Here is a 16,833-nt window from a genome sequence, read left to right as displayed (position 1 = left end):
CTCTTGCTTCTCTAGTTCTTCTAATTGTGATGTTAGGGTGTCGATTTTATATCTTTCCTGCTTTCTCTTGTGGGCATTTAGTGCTATAAATTTTCCTCTACACACTGCTTTAAATGTGTCTCAGAGATTTTGGTATGTTGTGTCTTTGTTCTCATTGGTTTCAAAGAACATCTTTATTTTTGCCTTCATTTCGTTATTTGTCCAGTAGTCATTCAGGAGCAGGTTGTTCAGTTTCCATGTAGTTGTGTGGTTTTGAGTGAGTTTCTTAATCCTGAGTTCTAATTTGATTGCACTGTGGTCTGAGAGACAGTTTGTTGTGATGTCTGTTCTTTTACATTTGCTGAGGAGTGCTTTTCTTCCAATTATGTGGTCAATTTTAGGATAAGTGTGATGAGGTGCTGAAAAGAATGTATATTCTGTTGATTTGGGGTGGAGAGTTCTGTAGATGTCTATTAGGTCAGCTTGGTGCAGAGCTGAGTTCAAGTCCTGGATATCCTTGTTAACCTTCTGTCTTGTTGATCTGTCTAATATTGACAGTGGGTGTTAGAGTCTCCCATTATTATTGTGTGGGAGTCTAAGTCTCTTTGTAGGTCTCTAAGCACTTGCTTTTTGAATCAGGGTACTCCTGTATTGGGTGTATATATGTTTAGGATAGTTAGCTCTTTTTATTGAATTGATTTTTTGCCATTATTTAATGACCTTCCTTGTCTCTTTTGATCTTTGTTGGTTTAAATTCTGTTTTATCAGCGACTAGGATTGCAACGCCTGCTTTTTTTTTTTTTTTTTTTTGCTTTCCTTTTGCTTGGTAGATCTTCCTCCATCCCTTTATTTTGAGCCTATGTGTGTCTCTGCACGTGAGATGGGTCTCCGGATTACAGCACTCTGATGGGTCTTGACTCTTTATCCAATTTGCCAGTCTGGGTCTTTTAATTTGGGCATTTAGCCCATTTACATTTAAGGTTAATATTGTCATGTGTGAATTTGATCCTGTCATTATGATGTTAGCTGATTATTTTGCCCATTGATTGATGCAGTTTCTTTATAGCATCAATGGTCTTTATAATTTGGCATGTTTTGGAAGTGGCTGGCACCGGTTGTTCCTTTCCATGTTTAGTGCTTCGTTCAGGAGCTCTTGTAAGGCAGGCCTGGTGGTGACAAAATCTCTCAGCATTTCCTTGTCAGTAAAGGATTTTATTTTTCCTTCACTTATGAAGCTTAGTTTGGCTGGATATGAAATTATGGTTTGAAAATTCTTTTCCTTAAGAGTGTTGAATTGTGGCCCCCTCTCTCTTCTGGCTTGTAGGGTTTCTGCTGAGAGATCCACTGTTAGTCTGATGGGCTTCCCTTTGTGGGTAAGCCAAACTTTCTCCCTATCTGCCCTTAACATTTTTTCCTTCATTTCAACTTTGGTGAATCTGACAATTATGTGTCTTGGGGTTGCTCTTCTCAAGAATCTTTGTGGTGTTCTCTGTATTTCCTGAATTTGAATGTTGGCCTGCCTTGCTAGGTTGTGGAAGTTCTCCTGGATAATATCCTGAAGAGTATTTTCTAACTTGGTTCCATTTTCCCCGTCACTTCCAGGTACCCCAATTAAATGTAGATTTGGTCTTTTCACATAGTCCCATATTTCTTGGAGGCTTTGTTTTTTTTCACTCTTTCTTCTCTAATCTTGTCTTCTCACTTTATTTCATTTGATCTTCAATCACAGATACCCTTTCTTCCTCTTGATCGAATCAGCTATTGAAGCTTGTGCCTGCATCATGAAATTCTCGTGCTATGATTTTCAGCTCCATCAAGTCATTTAAGGTCTTCTCTACACTGTTTATTCTACTTAGCCATTCGTCTAACCTTTTTTCAAGGTTTTTAGCTTCCTTGTGATGGGTTAGAACAAGCTCCTTTAGCTTGAAGAAGTTTGTTTTTACTGATCTTCTGAAACCTACTTCTGTCAACTCGTCAAACTCATTCTCCCTCCAGTTTTGTTCTGTTGCTGGAGAGGAGCTGCATTCCTTTGGAGGAGAAGAGGTGCTATGGTGTTTAGAATTTTCAGCTTTTCTGCTCTGATTTCTCCCCATCTTTGTGGTTTTTATCTACCTTTGGTCTTTGATGTTGGTGACTTACAGATGGGGTTTGGTGTGGATGTCCTTTTTGTTGATGTTGATGCTATTCCTTTCTGTTTGTTAGTTTTCCTTCTAACAGGCCCCTCAGCTGCAGGTCTGTTGGAATTTTCTGGAGGTCCACACCAGACCCTGTTTGCCTGGGTATCACCAGCAGAGGCTGCAGAACAGCAAATATTTCAGAACCACAAATATTGTTGCCTGATTTTACCTCTGGAAATTTCATCCCAGAGGGGCACCCACCTGTATGAGGTGTCTGTCAGCCTCTACTGGGAGGTGTCTCCCAGTCATGCTACATGGGGGTCAGGGACCCACTTGAGGAGGCAGTCTGTCTGTTCTCAGAGCTCAAACGCTGTGCTGGGAGAACCACTGCTCTCTTCAGAGCTATCAGACAGGTATGTTTAAGTGTGCAGAAGTTGTCTGCTGCCTTTTGTTCAGCTATGCCCTGCCCAGAGAGGTGGAATCTAGAGAGGCAGTAGGCCTTGCTGAGCTGCGGTGGGCTCCACCCAGTTCGAGCTTCCCTGCAGCTTTGTTTACCTACTCAAGCCTCAACAATGGCAGATGCCCCACCCCCGCCAGGCTGCAGCCTTGCTGGTGGATCTCAGACTGCTGTGCTAGCAGTGAGCAAGGCTCCGTGGGCGTGGGACCTGCTGAGCCAGGCATGGGAGGGAATCTCCTTGTCTGCTGGTTGCAAAGACAATGGGAAAAGTGCAGTATTTGGGCAGAAGTGTACTGTTCCTCCAGGTACAGTCTGTCACAGCTTCCCTTGGCTAGGAAAGGGAAATCCCCCAACCCCTTGCACTTCCTGCATGAGGTGATGCCCCACCCTGCTTTGGCTCACCCTCCATGGGCTGCACCCACTGTCCCACCAGTCCCAGTGAGATGAACCAGGTACCTCATTTGGAAATGCAGAAATCTCTCGTCTTCTGTGTCGATCTCACTGGGAGCTGCAGACTGGAGCTGTTCCTATTTGGCCATCTTGGAAGCGACCTGGAAACTTCTATTCCAAAATTAACTTTTCAATATAATAGAAACATCCCATTAGAAATAAAGGAAAACTATATTCATAAGAGTAATAAAATGTTTAATTATCTATGATTCATTTTAACAAGAATAGGAAGATCTATGAAGAAAATGATAAGAAATAATAGTATCAAATACCAGTATTTACAAAATTGATGCTTAATACAAAATAACTAAAATCTTAATGAACTTTTAAAACTAGATACATATTTTTAAAGTCATTATGAAATAATCAATGTGTAAAAATAGCTAAGAAAATTATGATAAGAAAATTCCTGGAGAGTAAAACTTAATTTAAAAACTTCCTATAAACAAAATAGTGTGTTCTTGACCCATTTATTCAGTGGAACAGAATTAAAGGTTTTGAAATAGATTCAAGTAAAAATGAGAAGGTAATATGGTATTTTGTTTCAGTGGATAAAGAGTGTTTATTTAAAAAATGATTCAGATATACAGGCAAGATTAAAGCAAATTGAGGTCCTTTACCTCATATATATATGATATTTTATATATATTATATATGATATTTTATATATATGATATTATATATATCCATAGTCCATGTTGATTAAATATATAGGAAAAGAAGAAGGAAAAATGCATTAGAAAAAGCTAGGGGAAATATCTCATTACGGAAGGAAAGAAAGAAACTCGGGTAAAAACAATAGTAGATATTTCTGATCATAGTAGGTTAAATATGTATAATGATGGATATATATACTAACTATGTTATATAACAATATGCATTAACTATACACACAAATATATCAATATATATGTAAACTAAATGTTATTGACAGATGTGTATGCTTAAAAAATAGACAGATAATACATAAGTAGAAGTTTTTCTGACTTCTCAGACAGGAAAAGAGTTAATATTGCTAAAATCTTGAGAGTGTATTCAAGCCCATCAGAGAAAAACACAACTCAAAAGAAAAATGGACAGATGTGAATAGGAAAGTCAAAGAAGATTAATCCAAGCAGACTATACACATATTGAATGATGCCAACCCTCACTAGTATTGAGGGAAAGGCAAATTAAAGCAGCAATAAGATAATATTTTTCACCATTAGACTCTAAAAATTAAAGTGATCATACCCAGTAGTTATAACTTTTTGAAAAATACAACTCATTAGAGCACCTTTATTAACTCCAGAAATAGACTATATAAAATAGAAAGATTAGTTTAAAATCAGCACTGTGCTGGTAAGGGCAGCCACGATTCCAGAAACATTAATTGCTGGGTAGACTCATTACTGATTAGATAAGAAACCTCAAACACCATTAGACAATTGTGATTAAATGTATGTCGTTCTAATTGAATGCATTGTTTATTGCCTTCTACTGAATCAGCAGGTCACCTGCCTGTTTTGTATATTTGAAAAGGGCACATCCATGCAGATCTTAGGTTCCCTGTTGTATGACATACTCCTTCACCACCTTCAAATACTACCTTTTAGGTTATAACATTTAGAAAAGAAAGTGGCACTTCCACTTCACCTGCTCAGCAAGTGAATTCCTATAACATCTTGTAGAGTGATGAATAAACAATTATTAGAAAAAATATCACATGCTTTTCATTCAGCAATCCCACTTTGAGACTATCTTCTATGAAAATAGGAGCATCATATTTAAGGACGTTAATGGAAGCATTATTATTATTATTATTATTATTTTTGAGACTGAGTCTCACTCTGTCATCCAGGCTGGAGTGCAGTGGTGCAATTTCGGCTCACGGCAAACTCCGCCTCCCGGGTTCATGCCATTCTCCTGCCTCAGCCTCCCGAGTAGCTGGGACTACAGGTGCCCGCCACCACACCCGGCTAATTTTTTGTATTTTTAGTAGAGATGGGGTTTCACTGTGTTAGCCAGGATGGTCTCGATCTCCTGACCTTGTGATCCTCCCGCCTCGGCCTTACAAAGTGCTGGGATTACAGGCGTGAGACACCGCGCCCGGCCTGGAAGCATTATTTTTAATAGCAACATATTGGAAATATGAACACTCATCAGTAGTTGTGCTTTCAAGAATCATGTAATATCCATCACATAGAACATTATGCAGCTATCCAAAAAAATGATTCAGACCCTGTCATCCTAAATGGATGCCTGTAATGCTTAATGAAAGAAGCAAGTTATCTAGTATTTTCATTATTTTTGTAAAAATAAAACACAGCATAATGACTACACCAAATGCTTTCATCTGTGAATGTGTGGTCTAGCTATGTTCTTTCTCAGCCATGGGGAAGGGTGAGCACTGACCCTAACAGAGTATTGATATTTGTTGCCTTAAATCTGTAAGAAAAGTGAAATGGGAAGAGAGGGAAGTTATCTCCTTTTTTTGCTGTATCTTGCTTTCTTCTACCAGCTATAATGGGTTTGTGTTATTTTGCCGTACAAAGAAAGAAACAGAAAATGTAAAAGAACAGTATCTTTGGTTGGCTGATAACTTTTCCCAGTTATTTATGTACTTCTTTTTGTTTTGTAGTTCTTACTGCATTTAGATGTATTTTCAAAATGGAGCAGAGATAAATGTAAATTCTTTTTCTTTATTTGAACCAGAAGCCTAGATTTTGTTTTAAATAATCACTCTGGTCAAACTTCTATTATCTCCCACTTGGTGGGACAGAGCCCCTATGAATAAAATTAGCCCCATGTGGAGAAAGAAAGGGTGTTCTGAGTTGGGCTGGCCTGGCAGTAACTGAGAGAGGTTTGGGGAAATGCGATTGCACCAGGCAAAGACCTTTCAAGGACAATCAAAATTGAAAACTCGAGCAGACAAACCCTGTGTGGTTTTCCCAAACGTACTTGGAAAAGGAGAGGTGTCTTCCAGCCCAGGTCCTGGGCATGGCTTCTGTCTCACTCTGCAAGAGACATAAAAATTTCCCCACAAGCTGAGAGGACCTCAAGGCCTTTTCCCAGTATATGAAGTGTGATGGAGAGAAAATATTATTTTGGAACAAAGCCTTGGCATGTGTTGTTGGAAGAGCTTCTGTAGCATGAGAAATAATCTTTCTCTCTAAACATGTGAAATACTTCTCCAATAAAATCATTCAAGCCTAGAGTTTGTTGTTATTGTTTATTTTTCTGTTTTGGGGTAGTTAAACACTTTTTCCTTGATTGTTTTTTATTTAGGCTTTACATTCCAAGTTGAGTTTGTTTGCTAACAAAAAGGGTTTTCAGTTCACTTCATCAGTATTTCATATTTATTAGAAAAAACTAATATCCTTTGTAACATAGAGTTTTGTTTTCCCATTTTGGTTGTAATTCTGTCATATTTGCCTAGTTTTCAAAAAGTTTATATATAATTTGTTGTTGGTTATTTACAAAGTGTCATCTATTGTATTATTAGTTCTACTCTTTATTTCTAATTTATACACTGTTATGGTTAACTTAATTATTTTCTTTGTCCTACTATCCTTAGTAGTCTTTCATGGTTTTTAAAAATTCCAATTTATTTATTTTTGGCAATGAATGCATTAAATGCTACATATTGACCACTGATATAATTTTGGCTACTTAGTATTGGGAGAGTCATTTTCTAATTTTTTTCTCACTTTTATGTTTAGTGTCTCTGTGCTTCCTTGGCGGCTCAATTTGCTACTTGATGAAATATAAACTGCAGTAGGCCTGTCTTTCAGTCATGGTCTGTGGGCAATACCCTGAAAATGTCTTTATTTTGCTTCCATTCTTGAATCATGGTTTAACTGGTATACAGTTCTATGTTAAGATATATTGGCCAGACGCGGTGGCTCATGCCTGTAATCCCAGCACTTTGGGAGGCCGAGGCGGGCGGATCATGAGGTCAGGAGATCGAGACCATCCTGGGTAACGCGGTGAAACCCCGTCTCTACTAAAAATACAAAAAAATTAGCCGGGCGTGGTGGCGGGCGCCTGGAGTCCCAGCTACTGGGAAGGCTGAGGCAGGAGAATGGCGTGAACCCGGGAGGCGGAGCTTGCAGTGAGCCGAGATCACACTACTGTACTCCAGCCTGGGCGACAAAGCCAGGCACTGTCTAAAAAAAAGAAAAAAAAAAAAGATATATTTCGTCAGCACTTTGAAGTGATTTTTTTCATTGTCCTTTGAAATCCCTTGCTGCTGATGTGAAGTCCGCTAGTTTGCTGTTGGTTGGATTGTTTTCATTTGTAAGCAATCTCTTTTTCTACCCCTTTTAAAGCTTTTCTTTATTTCTTTTTCTTTTCAGAGATAAGGTCTCGCTCTGTGGCTATAGCTCACTGCAGCCTCAAATTCCTGCGCTCAAGTAATCCTCCCACCTCAGCTTCCCAAGTAGATGGGACTACAGGTATGTGCCACCAAGCCCAGCTCCTTTCTCAAGCTTTAAAACAACAACGAAAACAAACAAACAAAGGAAAAACCTTTGCATTGTGTAATTTAGATTTATTTTGTAACCATGTTGGATTAAGTATAATTTTTATACTGAGGACTCCTCTCTTTCTTTAAATCGGGGGAAAATAAAAACCAAAATAACGATAACAAAAAATTTTACAATGAGTAACAAATAATAAACCATGATAAAATAGCAACAAAAAACTAGTAAATACTAAATAGATGACTTTCAAAATTCTGTGTCTGAATTTAGTTGAAAAAAATCTCTTGGATTAAAGCAGAAATCATAAAGAAAATCATTTGAATGAAAACATGAGTATCAAAATTACATCCAACATTTTTGGCTTCATCTCATTTTTTAATTCTCTGTTTCTTGAATAGTCAGATATATTTTGGCATTTGCCTTTCTGTTATCCAATGTCTTTACTTTTTTTCCTTTTAACTCTCTCTGCCTCATTCTGAGAAATTTCCTCATGTCTAGATTGCATTTTGTGTGTGTGTGTGTTATATGTATTATATACTGTATTCTTTTTTTTTAATTTTATTATTATTATACTTTAAGTTTTAGGGTATACATGCAGGTTTGTTATATATGTATACATGTGCCATGTTGGTGTGCTGCACCCATTAACTCGTCATTTAGCATTAGGTATATCTCCTAATGCTATCCCTCCCCCCTCCCGCCACCCCACAACAGTCCCTGGTGTGTGATGTTCCCCTTCCTGTGTCCATGTGTTCTCATTGTTCAATTCCCACCTATGAGTGAGAACATGAGGTGTTTGGTTTTTTATCCTTGCGATAGTTTGCTGAGAATGACGGTTTCCAGTTTCATCCATGTCCCTACAAAGGACATGAACTCATCATTTTTTATGGCTGCATAGTATTCCATGGTGTATATGTGCCACATTTTCTTAATCCAGTCTATCGTTGTTGGACATTTAGGTTGGTTCCAAGTCTTTGCTATTGTGAATAGTGCCGCTATAAACATACGTGTGCATGTGTCTTTATAGCAGCATGATTTATAATCCTTTGGGTATATACCCAGTAATGGGATGGCTGGGTCAAATGGTATTTCTAGTTCTAGATCCCTGAGGAATCGCCACACTGACTTCCACAATGGTTGAACTAGTTTACAGTCCCACCAACAGTGTAAAAGTGTTCCTATTTCTCCACATCCTCTCCAGCACCTGTTGTTTCCTGACTTTTTAACGATCGCCATTCTAACTGGTGTCAGATGGTATCTCATTGTGGTTTTGATTTGTATTTCTTTCTCTGATGGCCAGTGATGATGAGCATTTTTTCATGTGTTTTTTGGCTGCATAAATGTCTTCTTTTGAGAAGTGTCTGTTCATATCCTTTGCCCACTTTTTGATGGGGTTGTTTGTTTTTATGAGTGAACTCCCATTCACAATTGCTTCAAAGAGAATAAAATACCTAGGAATCCACCTTACAAGGGATGTGAAGGACCTCTTCAAGGAGAACTACAAACCACTTCTCAATGATATAAAAGAGGATACAAACAAATGGAAGAACATTCCATGCTCATGGGTAGGAAGAATCAATATCGTGAAAATGGTCATACTGCCCAAGGTAATTTATAGATTCAATGCCATCCCCATCACGCTACCAATGACTTTCTTCACAGAATTGGAAAAAACTACTTTAAAGTTCATATGCAACCAAAAAAGAGCCTGCATCGCCAAGTCAATCCTAAGCCAAAAGAACAAAGCTGGAGGCATCACGCTACCTGACTTCAAACTATACTACAAGGCTACAGTAACCAAAACAGCATGGTACTGGTACCAAAACAGAGATATAGACCAATGGAACAGAACAGAGCCCTCAGAAATAATGCCACATATCTACAACTATCTGATCTTTGACAAACCTGACAAAAATAAGCAATGGGGAAAGGATTCCCTATTTAATAAATGGTACTGGGAAAACTGGCTAGCCATATGTAGAAAGCTGAAACTGGATCCCTTCCTTACAACTTATACAACAATTAATTCAAAATGGATTAAAGACTTACATGTTAGACCTAAAACCATCAAACCCTAGAAGAAAACCTAGACAATACCATTCAGGACATAGGCATGGGCGAGGACTTTATGTCTAAAACACCAAAAGCAATGGCAAGAAAAGCCAAAATTGACAAATGGGATCTAATTAAACTAAAGAGCTTCTGCACAGCAAAAGAAACTACCATCAGAGTGAACAGGCAACCTACAGAATGGGAGAAAATTTTTGCAACCTACTCATCTGACAAAGGGCTAATAATATCCAGAATCTACAATGAACTCAAACAAATTTACTAGACTGCATTTTTAAATTCAATTTTCATATTCAAATGCAGTGTCAAATTCCCTTCTTTCTTTCTTTCTTTTCTTTCCTTCCTTTCTTTCTTTCTCTCTCTCTCTCTCCTTCTTTCTTTCTTTCTTTCCTTCTTTCTTGTTTTTTTAAACAGAGTCTTGGTCCATTGCCAGGCTGGAGTGCAGTGGTGTGATCTCAGCTCACTGCAACCTCTGCCTCCTGGGCTCAAGCGATTCTCCTGCTTCAGCCTCCCAAGCAGCTGGGACTACCGGTGTCCACCAAAATACCTGGCTAGTTTTTGTATTTTTAGTAGAGACAGGTTTCACCATGTTGGCCAGGATGTTCTCGATCTCCTGATCTCGTGATCCGCCCGCCTCAGCCTCCCAAAGTGCTGGGATTACAGGAGTGAGCCACCACACTCGGCCAATTCCTCTCTTTTTTGTAGTGTACAGTTTAACCTGTCAATTAAGTCTTTTTAAAAATTTTAGTGACTCACTAGAATTTTCAAGTCTAGAAATCAATGCCACTTAATGCACATTGCTGTTAACTGTGTGAGCTTGGGTTAATCTCTTCTTCAGTTTTCTCATTTGTAAAATGGAGATAACACTAGTTTCTTCCTTAAGGAGTAACATGTTGCCATGATCAAATAAGTTAATATATGTAAGCTGTCTTTGAGATGCTTTAAGTAGGATAAATTATATATTTTTTACATTGCATAGAAATGAAAAGTTGAGTAGGTATATTTTGGGGGCTTACACTCTTTCCCTTCCACCTCTTCAGAGACCTTCTCATTATTTCCTGTAAGTTTTACAAAAGGATGATCTTAATTCTTTACCAGGCAAAAAAAAAAAAAAAAGCCATTTTTTGTTTATTTACCTTTTTTCAATACTTACAGAATATTTTATTCTAAAAAAAATTTTGTCTAGGTGAGGATTTCATTTAATGAGTTTTCCTTATTAATAGCTACCAATGTGTCTTGTCTTAATATCTTTTTCAAACAAGGAAAATTTCTTTTTGCTATACGTCTAATTGCTTTTTTTTTGCTATATTTTCTTCTTAATTTCTGTAAGCTTGTTTCTTCATCTATAAAATAGAGAAAAATGCTACCTACCTCACAGCATTGTCCTGAAAATTACTCATGATAAAGTATGGAAGGAGTCCAGCCCTGGGTGGCATTAACAAATCATATGCCTCCTTAATAACATGACCGAAAGGCATGGCACCACATTCTTAAAGGGGTCCTTGCTGTCTGTATTTCAAATATCTTCTTCTTCTAAATTTTCTCACATTTGAGTTCTTAAACAACAGAAAAAAACTGAGCAGAGGAACTGGCACATTGTTGACACTAAGTAAATGGTAGTTCTCCTAGTCCTTATTTTTATGAACTGGAATTCATACATTGTCTTTTTAGTATTCTTTCTATGTATCTGTCATCATTCTTACTATTTACATCTGTTTTTCTTCCTCTCCATATGATGCTGCTTTTCAGTTTTGTCTTTTATGTCGTTAATTCAACTCTGCTCACACTGCAGGGGGTGGGGGGTTGTGTGCTTTGTTTTGTTTTTAGTTTAGTTATATCATTAGAAAACCTTGGGCAGTCTCGTCTCTTTGCCTTCTGTCATGGTGTGCTCTTCCTGTCACAGTGGCACGCATTTCACTTCAAAAGCAATGTCCTTCTGCCCCTTTCAAAGCACACAAAAAAAGAGTTTCTGAACATTATGTTTCTTTGGAGGATTTTGTTTCTAAAGGATGAAATTGCTCCTTATCAGTAGGAAATGTTCTCGTATATCTTGAAATTAATAACCTCTCTCTTTTGCACTTGTGCCTGTCTAATCAATAGCTCTTATTTTAATATCATGTATTAAAGATTGCTTCCCATAGCACAGTCAACTTACCAGAGTGAGTTGAATATAGAACTCCTTGAAAAGGCAGCTGAAATTTTGTTTTTGGAGTTTACTTTTTCAATGTTTTTGTGACTTTCTGATAGAAGAAATTTAAAGTCTCATGATATAAATTATCATAAAGGGTAGTTTGGGTATAATTTCTAGGTGACATCGATTCTGTGATAATTATTTTTTGGCTGATTTATGTCAAGGGATACCCTGTTATCAGCAGAGATTTTCTCCTTTGGAGTAAAATTATACTTAAAGGCAATAGTCTACCCAAGCCTAAAATCTATTCAAAGGAAACTAGACTCAGGAAAATTGCCTGCATTTTCTATGCACCATCCTTGGTATGCTATTATTCAAATTACCTGTATACCCTTATGAGGACACAGCACACAGAATAAGCATACACTGTTTTCTCAAAGTTGTAATTACAAGCCTTAGGAGCTATCCTATAAACTAAATCTACATGATAAAGCTTTGGTTATCTTCCTATTAGTTATTGATTCCACTAATGGAAAAGAAATTGAGAATTTCTTTCCTTGGGTATTGAAATGAAATTCCTGAGTTCCGAAGTTGTTTTCTTTTAATTGGGAATGCAATGGACATAAAAATGCTCCTGAGAAGAGTGAGACTCCTTGAATATCTGAACTGAGGAAGGCTCTACAAGTCAAACAAACCTTAAGTCAAAGGGCTGTGGGCTTGTTCTGCCCGTGTGGTCCACTGTACTTTAATTATGGAAGTGGAAAAGTTGATATAAAAATATTTTTTTAAAGAGACCATTTTCTATATGGGTTAATTCAACTTTTGTGCCATCAATGAGCCCTGGGGCAGAAACTCATACCTGTGATGTGTCCAGCATCACAACAGGTTTTGCATAGATGGAAAGAGTGTAGCATCAGCACTGATCATGGTGAAAATGGACAATGGTGAGTGAAGTAAGCTCCAGGGTTTTAATCTGATAAGAAAAATATTATTAAACATTTAATTGGGGCCTATTTTTGTGTGAGGTACTTGCATAGATGTTAACCCACTTAGTCATTATGGGCATCCTGCGGGACAGGTATTGTTCTCTCTTATAAGTCAGGGAACTGAGGGTCTTTGGTTCAATAGAAAGCCACCTGGACTGGAGTTAGAAGTGACCAGATCTTTCACTTAATGGTGGAATGGCCTTGGGGAGGTTGCTTATTCTTGGTCATCATTGTGGACTTGGCCCTTATGACGCTGAAGGCCCTTCCAGCTCTGACACCAATGGTTCTAGTTTATTCCACTGCTTGCTAGTGTATTCCACACACAGGTCAAAGACATTGCTGGCAGACATTGTGTGTTCCTTCACGTTTATGTGATTGTGGTTTACAAATAAACTCATTCTTTGTGTATGCCAACTACTCTCTTTAGAATAGACCACAGCCCAATGCCCCACCAGGAGCTGGCTCAGAAAAAGCTCCAGAGGCTACTCATGGCTGGCTTGGAAACCCGTTCTCTGAAAGAAGCCAAAGAAAGATGCCAGTTTGCTCTGCAGGGGAGAAAAGGCCTCATATAGGGTGGGACACAGGCATTCTGTGCTACTCATTCTTTAAGACCAAAGGTAATGATCAACATGCTATTTTTGGTGCCAGCCATGGCCACTGGAGTCACTACTCATTAATACTATGAATGCAACCTTCATATCCATTATGCAGAAGATAAAGGCAGCCAATAGAGCCACAAGTGCTGACTGTGTGACTCAGGCTACAGAAGGAACTTCTGTAGGAAGGGCCAGCTGCTCCCTTCATAGAGACACTTGCACAACCAGGACTTTGTATCATTCTCACTATTCACATAAGACAATGTCTCTCATTTACAAACAGAGCAAGGCTTCTAAAACAGCAATCTTAGCAGCTATCAGTGCCCTAGGGACTATTTTATGAAAACTACTTTGTGAGCCCTATCTATATATTTACACTTTAAACATTAAATTTACTCACATGTAAGCTCTTGTAGAACACATTTGTATGACCTATCCAAAGAGATGTATAAACTATCTGATGAGGCTATTTACTTACTTTAATAAATGAAACGAAACACAAAATGCTTCGAAGACTTTAAAAAATATGAAAATCCCATCATTTCCAGCACCTCAGCAGATAAAATCAGGTGGCTAATCTGGATTTCTCAGCCAATTACTCTTATGTAATGGAGTTTCTGAGAGCCTTTCTCTGCATAGTCATATAAGAACAATATGCAATATCTGCATTTGCAGACTGCCTTTTTTTTGTTTTTGTTTGTTTGTTTTTTGAGACAGAGTCTCACTCTGTCGCCCAAGCTGGAATGCAGCAGCATGATCTCTGCTCACTGCAACTCCACCTCCTGGGTTCTCCTGCCTCAGCCTCCCGAGTAGCTGGGATTACAGGTGCCTGCCACCATGCCTGGCCAATTTTTGTATTTTTAGTAGAGACAGAGTTTCGCCATGTTGACCAGGCTGGTCTCGAACTCCTGACCTTAGGTGATCCGCCTGCCTCGGCCTCCCAAAGTACTGGGATTACAGGTGAAAGCCACCATGCCCAGCCTGCAGCCTGCCTTCTGACTGGCAGTAAGTTTGCAGGACCCCAGCAAAACATTCTTATAGGGACAACAAAAGTGGAAATATATTCCTTAGACACTTGAGAGTGACAGAGTGTGGTCATACTTGGTTTCAGAAATAAGATATTCTTCGTGATGAACAAGCATTAACATTTCATGCACAACAAAACCACTCAACTCTATACCCTCACCTATTTCCTATTGGTATCTTCTCCTTATACCACAGCAATCTATGCAGGATTCCTGGTTCTACTGATCAAGTAGCCTGATGAATTCCCCAAGTGTAAATATCAACAGTTAATAAATCAATTTTCTCTTTAATGGGATAGAGGAGATACTAGTTCTGTGCAACTGGATAAAGACATTCTACTTCACCAGAACTACCAGTTTAGTGATAAACTGGATAAAGGCATTATCCAAACACCCTTCTATGTGCTAGGTGCTTACTGAGACAGAATTTACTCTAAGAGTATTTGTGTGTAAAAAAATAGGCATGGACTGTGTTGCTTTTGCAATTTAATACCCATTTCACCTCAAATATATGGCAGAAAGAACTACAAAGTTGCAAATATAAAGCTTTCAAAAGCAAAACATATTCAATCTCCCTATCCCTCTATAAAAGACTGGAATTCTCCTCAGGCATCCTTTAGATACGCTATCTAGATTTTAAAGTGTCCTTTCAATCCTCTTGTTGAATGCTAACCCCAACCTTCAGGCTGCCCTCACTTCCGATGTGACAGCAACCCTACACCCCTATCCTGACAGAAGGATGGTGGCATTGCCAGGTCCCTATTTCTCCCCCACCTTAGCTGGACGGACATTGTTGCCTTTCAGAGCAGTCAGAGCTCATCATTGTGACCTGTTTTAATCTGACATGTGACTCTTCCACATTTACCAACTCCCCTACAACCTTTTCCTTCCCAGCATCTGTAGTGGCATTAACTTCCTGTTATTTCAGTAATTAAGATAGTCACTCCCAGACGAGATTACTTCACAATATCTGCAGTAGACAAAGGCTAAAAGAGGAATTCTCCTATATTCTAGAGAGGAAAATGATGCTTGACCTTTCAGAACAGAAATGATTGTGTGGGCAAAGGAAAAGATTACTAAAGTGAAGACATCACAGTATTTGGGTCCAGATGGGCTTGGTGTCAACCTCTTGCTCTACTGCTTAGAAGTCGTGAGACTTTAGAGAGATTATTCAACTTTTCTGAGACTTTGTTTCCCTATAGGCAAGCCAAAATAAAATGTCTCCTTGATAGGATTCTAGTGTGGAGTAGGAATTCTAAGTGTCAAATATCTTGCTTACTATAGGTCCTGATGTTTTTACAATCACAGTGATTATCATGGTGGTGATGGTGGAGGTGTTGGAGATGGAAGAGGTTCTGGTGGAGGCAGTAGTGAAGGAGGAAGGTATTGGTCAAGGAGTTGCTGTTGGTGGCGGTGAAAGTGGTAGAGGCGTCATCAGTGCAGTAGTGGTTATGATGTCTCCAAGTCACACATAGAGGAACCCCAAACTTCCAGGGAGATTTCTGAGAAGAGGCTTCAGTTAGTATGAGCTATGGGAAAATAGATTTTCCTTAATTTTCTAGGTAAGTAAACCTTGAATAATAGTGCAAAGTTAGCATGCAGAGTGAAGAGTGAATTCAAATTTGGATGCAGATTTCACTGTGCACATAATCATGTGATATTAGGAAAATGAAAGAAAAAATTTTCGAGGATGAAAACACCCATCTATCTTGAATGCTAAGTTTATATCACTTAATAATGGTAGGAACACAGGGAAAGAATTAGAGAGACATGTACCACACACACACAGGTAAATATACACACACAACTACACACACTCACCTACCTTCTTTTGTTCAATTAACATTAGGAAAGAAGTATTATCAATGCCATTTTACGGATAAGAAAGCTGAGGCTCAGAAAAGGCAGGGGGCACTGTAGGAGGCTTACAGGCTTTGGCATATGACAGATATTGCACTAATCCTTTGATTTCTATGTATCAGTTGTTTGACTTTATCTCTCACTCTCCTCAAACTGCAATTTCTTCATCTTTGATAATGATGCCAATAATTGTCTTGCAGAATTGCTATGAGGAATAAACAAGATATGTTTTTGGTCTACATCATTGGCAATGTCATATAAAGAATCTAACACAATACTTGTTATTGTGTTTAACAAAACACAATATAGAAAGTTTAACAAAAGTCCTGCTTTCCATTATTCATTCATTCACATTTTAATTTATTCTTCCATCCATCCATCTATCCATATATATATTTATATATATATAAAACAAGGTGAGGTCTCACTCTGTTGCCCAGGCTAGTTTTGAACTCCTGGGCTCAAGCTGTCCTCCCACCTCAGCCTCCCAATGTGCTAGAATTACAGGCATGAGCCACTGCTCCTGCCCTGGCCCCATCTATCCTGTAATCCATCCAGCTCGGCTATACTATATGAAAATTCAAGATCAGTTTTAGTCCATGCAAAGGCTCCAAAAATTGCATCAGTTGGAAATTTTGGATTTCAAGAATTATAAAACCTGGCCCAAATCTACATAGGAATTTTATTGCTTAATGTAAC

The 16,833-nt window shown here is 38.4% G+C and overlaps 2 long non-coding RNA genes across 2 annotated transcripts in view, besides 1 other annotated feature; both read right to left on the bottom strand.

The window, feature by feature from the left end:
• Nucleotides 1–3,009: 3,009 nt before the first annotated feature.
• Nucleotides 3,010–16,833, bottom strand: part of LOC105373456 (uncharacterized) — a 529,181-nt gene continuing 515,357 nt past the window's right edge. Inside the window, exon 6 of the long non-coding RNA XR_007086234.1 lies at nucleotides 3,010–3,129. This is a non-coding gene — a long non-coding RNA (uncharacterized LOC105373456). The remainder of the gene's footprint in view (nucleotides 3,130–16,833) is intronic.
• Nucleotides 7,514–16,531, bottom strand: LOC124907739 (uncharacterized). The gene is made up of 2 exons (XR_007086236.1): nucleotides 16,100–16,531; nucleotides 7,514–15,803 (listed from the first exon to the last, which is right to left on the bottom strand). It is a non-coding gene; the product is annotated as an uncharacterized LOC124907739 (long non-coding RNA).
• Nucleotides 13,424–13,718: a silencer, noted in NCBI's record as "tiled region #11737; HepG2 Repressive DNase matched - State 23:Low". NCBI's record gives its function as "represses a minimal TATA promoter and a strong SV40 promoter by Sharpr-MPRA in HepG2 cells {active_cell/tissue: HepG2}" and the evidence as "EXISTENCE:reporter gene assay evidence [ECO:0000049][PMID:27701403]".

This window comes from Homo sapiens, chromosome 2 (assembly GCF_000001405.40).
Source record: "Homo sapiens chromosome 2, GRCh38.p14 Primary Assembly".
In the NCBI taxonomy this organism is placed as follows: domain Eukaryota; kingdom Metazoa; phylum Chordata; class Mammalia; order Primates; family Hominidae; genus Homo; species Homo sapiens.
Note: the sequence above shows the minus strand (reverse complement) of the source record. Positions and strands in the feature narration are given on the sequence as shown.